Source organism: Homo sapiens, chromosome 2, assembly GCF_000001405.40.
Source record: "Homo sapiens chromosome 2, GRCh38.p14 Primary Assembly".
In the NCBI taxonomy this organism is placed as follows: domain Eukaryota; kingdom Metazoa; phylum Chordata; class Mammalia; order Primates; family Hominidae; genus Homo; species Homo sapiens.
The window spans coordinates 12,574,223-12,580,222 of record NC_000002.12 but is presented as its reverse complement, the minus strand read 5'-3'; the positions used below and the strand labels follow the sequence as shown (position 1 = coordinate 12,580,222).

Here is a 6,000-nt window from a genome sequence, read left to right as displayed (position 1 = left end):
TAGTTTTTTATCCCATTCTCCACCATCAGACACAGTGATCCCAACATGTAGACCTCCCTTACTCTGGCCATCACTTTTTCCATGCTCCTAGGAACTAGTTTGCATGCTCCTAAGACCCAGTTTGCATCATCTCCTAGGGTTTTTGCTAAGTTTTAAATCCTGTACCTTGGGAGAGTGCTCCCAAATTCACTAAACCACTAGTAGATAACATCCCTTATTCACTCTTAGGCTCCAGCCTCCTTGATCAGACCCATACCTGCTCTGCCAGAGCATACCTGCTGGTCTATGTTAGCAGGTTTTATTTTAGCTCCTTTGGGATGTAATTCCTTTCCTTTCTTACCAGGCCCAGCACACTCAAGGCTGGATTATGATGCAATTTACCTGAGTTATTAGCCTAATGGCTAGGAAGCAAGGTGGGGAAAGATCCTGAGTGGAGTACCTGCTCTCTTTCAGGGGAGTGACCTCTGAATGGGTTAAAATGGAGGGAAAGTCTGCTTCTATAGGCTCAGAGATTTGGGAGAATCTAGGAATTCCGAATTTTTCAGGTCATCAACCAAGTCTCTTTTCCGTGTTTCAGGGTCCCGTTCATCCCAGTCAGGGTCTTCACCTGGATACAAATGGCTTTGTTATGAGTACATTATTCTTTCTAGTTCAGCTACCATGACAATTAAGTTGTGGAGCTTTTCTCCAACTTTCTTCCCTGCTGTTAAAGGAGATGAGAGGCTTTTTATAGGGTACTATATAAAAGCTTTGGCTTTTGGCTTTGGCTTTCACACTTAACCTTATTTTTGTTTTTTTCTAGAGCTTAAAGGTTAACCATAGTCATACAACCTCTTTGCCCTTATAGTACCTACCCCTCCCATAATTTTCAAATGCACTGAAAAGCATGCATTGCACCAGTGAGTGCATTCCTTTCCACTGGTGTAGCTTCCCAGCTCACCTTCATGAAAGTTTTACCAAGCAGTACCCACCTTGCACCAGGACTAGTTGTGCTCCACCAACCACAAGTGACAGCATCTTAATCACTGGCTGGTTGGTGAGTCATCCAGCTCCAAAATCCCATCTTAGAGCCACTTGCATTGATGATACCATTTAGATTCACCAGGATGCAGACTCTGAGACGAAGTATAATGTTCAAAGTGTTTATCAGAGTGCTCTTGTAATCAGTCTCCATGAAAGGGAGGCATAGAAAGTGGGATTGGACAAAAGGAAAACCTGAACTATTATGCAGGCATAGCCTCAGCCGGTTTCATGGAGAACTCTGGAACTAAGATGGCCCCAATTCCCCTGCATTGGGCTGCAGTGGCTGGGCCTTTATAGCTCCTGCATCCATCAGTCATGGATGTGGGTCACACGTGGAAGGGCATGACCTTGGGCAAGGTGGCTTGCTGCAGCTGAGAAAAATCACTGGAAGGGCTGGCAGCTGGAATCTGCCTCCTAACAGCTCTGCCAAGGGCTGGTGAGAAGACGGGGGCAAGATTTTCTCTTCATAGGAGATAAGGATTATGGGTCCTATGTCCTGACTCTGCCAAAGCAAGATGTGAGCAAGAAATTAGGATTCCTTTTTATCTTCTACAGCACCAGTCTTATCCCTGCTATCGAGAAAGAATTATAATCTCATTCTGAGATGCTCCCTAAAGATTCTAATAAATCCAGGATTATTATCAATGCACCTTAAAAGTATCTCTAAGTAGGGAATACAGAAACTAAAGTATTAATTCTCTAGAACATAGAGGAATAACTTCAAAATGATTCAGTCAATAAAAATTATTGTCTATAATGTGCTAGATACTATGGCAGGTGGCAGTGATTCCAAGATATATGCTCCAAATCCAGTAGGAGAAACAGACAAAAATGCATTTGACACGAATATTGTTCAATACAGACTATAATTAAATAATGTCCCAATTAGAGTGTGAGCTCAGACAGGGGAGCTTCCAAGAAAAGCTTCACAAAAGAAAGGACCTTGGAACTGAGGTATCTGACACCTGGCACTCATTCAAGGAATATTTGGTGAATAAATTATAGGTGGAATATTAATAGGCAGCAGAAATGATGGTGGATGGGAGAATTCCAAGCAGACCTCGGAGGCCTTGAAATGTTTCCCTGTATAGAAAGCAGTAGGTAGTCGGTATGAATATTTATTAGGTAAGGCTAGAAATATAGGATGATGTCATGTTGCTTTGAATTCTCTTAGAAGGAGTACTGACAATATTCTGTGGACAGTGGGAGAAGGTGTGGGATTCTGAATGGTTTTTGAGCTGGTGAACAGCTGACAGATGAGCAGTTTATAGAATGGTTTCTCTGTGGAAGTCAGGGGAATGGACTGGTTAAGGAAGAACCTTAGTTCTTAACCAGATGACAACAAAGGGGCTATTGCAGTGGCCTGGGTAAGTGGCAGGGAGGCCTCAAGTATGATACGGCTGTCCGTGGGAGGGAGCATCTTCATGAGGATAAGCTCATCACCGACTGTCACATAATAAATCAACTGCTGAAGGAGAAGTGCTGGCAATGTTTCTGCCTCCAGAACAGGATGTCACCTCAAAATTCAGTGTCTCGGTTAATAACAAGAGATCCATCGTCTCAATGAATGAGGAGAGTTTGGAAGGGTATTCCAAACTCTTTCATGGAAACAAAAAAGTTTTAAATTCTACATATTTATTTGTTTATTTTATTTTGGAGGAAATGTCATCATTTAAATATATGTTTGTTGTCACTCCTTAATAAAGCTCTTCAAACTCTGGCCAAAATACCCATTACACAACAGAGAGTACATTTTCCTTTCTGTTGTCCCTGCATTGTATTCACACTTTGATCTATCATTTTCTCACATTATGTTTTCATAACTTTCAGGATGCCTTCTAGATAATCCAAATGGATTCACAGAAAGCAGATCTGCTCTTCCTGTCAGTGTGGCCTCAGGCAATGCCCAGGAGTAAAAGGGTCATTAGCAGTTATTACTTTGATGACATCACCAGTAATTTGCCTCATTCACTTTCTAACATGTTGTAATTTTGCTTTGAAAATGCTGCACATAATAAAGAGTTATTGGCAAGGGTTTTGAACTACTACATCTCAAGTCAGCTTATAGTTTAACTCTTCTAGCACTGAAAATTTCCTGCTGGACTGCAGCTTGAGGGAATGCCCATCGCATCCGAGGACTGTGCATATGTGCAGATACTATTTCATTGTTCTAATGACTTCAAATTATGGCAGCCTCTCATCAACACACAGTCATCTGCAAAATGATGAAGTGTGAAGCAATAATTGGGTAGTGAGAAGAACACACGATTTTGAGTTAGAAGATCCGTATCAAGCCATAAGTCTTGGCCAAGTTACTTACAGTCTTAGAGTCTCAGCTCCCATCTTTCCACTATGATTAGGGGAATCACCCAAGAGCACATACCTAAAGAGGATGTGTCAAATTAATCAAAATACAACAATATGGTAAGGTGCAAAAATGATGAGTATTTTGCTCTATAAATTTTACGAAAGGAGCAAACCGGTGAAAGCTGCAACAGAGATTAGAAGCTGCAACATTACCAGGACCCAGGGGTATCCTCTCTCCCCATTCCAGTTATTATGCCAGCTTTCCTAAAATAACCTGGATTCTTACTTAAATTATTATAGTTAGTTAGCTTTGGCCATTTCTGAAACTTCATGTAAATGAAGTTGTACTCTATGTACTCACTTGAGTTAGTAGTACTCTTTTACTCAACACTCTGTTAGTTTTATTCTTGATGGCTCACATAGCAATAGTTAAAACTTGGTTGTTACACCATAGTATTACTTTGTGTGATTTTACAACAACGAATGTATTGTATCCTGGGAGGTTATGTGTGTTGTTTCCAATTTGAAGCTATTATGAAAAATGTTTCTAAGAGTGTCCTTGTGCCACTTTTTTTGGTGTACATGTGTATGCATTTCCTTGGGGCAAATTTCTAAAAGGGAAATTGCTCAAACATCAGGTATGCCTATGTTTAGCTTCAGTAGATAGTACCACAAGGTTTTTTGTTGTTGTAGTTGTTGTTTGTTTGTTTGTTTGTGTTTTGAGACGGAGTCTCCCTCTGTCACCAGGCTGGAGTACAATGGCTTGATCTCTGCTCACTGCAACTTCTGCCTCCCAGGTTCAAACGATCCTCCTGCCTCAGCCTCCCTTGTAGCTGGGACTACAGGCATGCACCACCACGCCCAGCTAATTTTTGTATTTTTAGTAGAGACGGGGTTTCACCACGTTGGCCAGGGTGGTCTCCATCTCTTAAGCTCATGATCAGCCCGCCTCAGCCTCCCAAAGTGCTGGGATTACAGGCATGAGCCACCATGCCTGGCCAGTTTTCTAAATTACCTGTGCAAATTCACATTCCTACCAGCAACACAGAGTTATTCCACATTCCCGCCACCACTGGTCTTGATAGGTTTGTCATTTGTTTTTGTCTTTTTTCTTTTTTTAATTTGACATTTCAGATAGCAGTGTCTAATTGTTTCAGTTAGTGGTTTTTGAAGATTTGTGATATTGAGCAGATTTTTTTATGATTATTAGTCCCTTGAATTTTTTTCTGTAAAACACCTGTTCATGGCTTTTGCTCATTTTTTTAAAGGAATAAACATATATTTTTTTCTATTTTTCTCATTAAGTACAACTAAAATCAAAACAAGTAGAAGGAAAAGTAACAAAAGTAAGATAAGAATTTAATGAAATAGGCTGGGCACGGTGGCTCACACCTGTAATCCCAGCACTTTGGAAGACCGAGGTGAGCAGATCGTGATGTTAGGAGATCGAGACTTTCATGTGCGCCCGTGTGAAGAGATCACCAAACAGGCTTTGTGTGAGCAACGTGGCTGTTTATTTCACCTGGGTGCAGGTGGGCTGAGTCCGAAAAGAAAGTCAGCGAAGGGAGATGGGGTGGGGCTGTTTTATCAGATTTGGGAAGGTAATGGAAAATTACAGCCAAAGGGGGTTGTTCTCTGGTGGGCAGGGGCGGGGGTCACAAGGTGCTCAGTGGGGGAGCTTCTGAGCCAGGAGAAGGAAATTCACAGGGTTAATCACTCAGTTAAGGTGGGGCAGGAACAAATCACAATGGTGGAATGTCATCAGTTAAGGCAGGGCAGGGCCTTTTCACTTCTTTTGTGATTCTTCAGTTACTTCAGGCCATCTGGGCATATACGTGCAAGTCACAGGGGATGCGATGGCTTGGCTTGGGCTCAGAGGCCTGACATTCCTGCCTTCTTATATTAATAAGAAAAATAAAATAGTGTTGAAGTGTTGGGGTGGCGAAAATTTTTGGGGGTGGTGCGGAGAGAGAATGGGCGATGTTTCTCAGTGCTGCTTCAAGCGGGATTAGGGGCGGCGTGGGAACCTAGAGTGGGAGAGATTAAGCTGAAGGGAGGTCTTGTGGTAAGGGGTGACATTGAGGGGGTTGTTAGAAGAAACATTTGTCATACAGAAAGATTGGTGATGGCCTGGATACGGTTTTGTATGAACTGAAAAACTAAATGGAATAAGAGAAGGAGAAAAACAGGTATAAATGGTTTAAGAATTGGGAGGACCTAGGACATCTGATTAGAGAGTGCTTAGGAGATTCAGCATAGTCCTGCCAGCAAAGATTATTTATTTACTTCAAGAGTAGAAGTTTGGGGATAGCACCAGGAGATATCAGCTGTGATGGCTTGGAGAAACAGTGTAAACCAGCAGTGTAAACAAGAGTAGGGCATGTATGAGTAGTTGAGAACGGTGAATAGGAGTATGACTAGACAGAAGATAGTAGGGATGACAAGTTTTTTGGGGCACAGTCTAAGTTGGTCTGGCGTCTGGAATGAGACTGGGGCCTAATAAAAAGGAGCATCTATGCAGGAGCTTAAATGGGCTGTACCTGGTAGCATTCTGAGGACAGGTCTCACTTCTCAGAAGGGAAAGTGGTAAAAGTATTGTCCAGTCCTTTTTAAGTTGGTGGCTGAGCTTGGTGAGGTGTGTTTTTAAAAGACCTTTAGTCTGTCACTGAA

General features: G+C 42.0%; 1 long non-coding RNA gene across 1 annotated transcript in view, besides 2 other annotated features; it reads right to left on the bottom strand.

Moving 5' to 3' along the window:
• Positions 1-1,874: 1,874 nt before the first annotated feature.
• MIR3681HG (MIR3681 host gene) overlaps positions 1,875-6,000 on the bottom strand; it is a 571,233-nt gene continuing 567,107 nt past the window's right edge. Inside the window, exon 6 of the long non-coding RNA NR_110196.1 lies at positions 1,875-3,406. This is a non-coding gene — a long non-coding RNA (MIR3681 host gene). The remainder of the gene's footprint in view (positions 3,407-6,000) is intronic.
• Positions 2,334-2,534: a silencer, noted in NCBI's record as "peak3595 fragment used in MPRA reporter construct". NCBI's record gives its function as "represses an SCP1 promoter by STARR-seq MPRAs in K562 erythroleukemia cells {active_cell/tissue: K562}" and the evidence as "EXISTENCE:reporter gene assay evidence [ECO:0000049][PMID:32103011]".
• Positions 4,861-5,399: an enhancer, noted in NCBI's record as "NANOG hESC enhancer chr2:12714950-12715488 (GRCh37/hg19 assembly coordinates)". NCBI's record gives its function as "activates a minimal SCP1, AML or CMV promoter by ChIP-STARR-seq in primed H9 embryonic stem cells {active_cell/tissue: H9 hESC(primed)}" and the evidence as "EXISTENCE:reporter gene assay evidence [ECO:0000049][PMID:30033119]".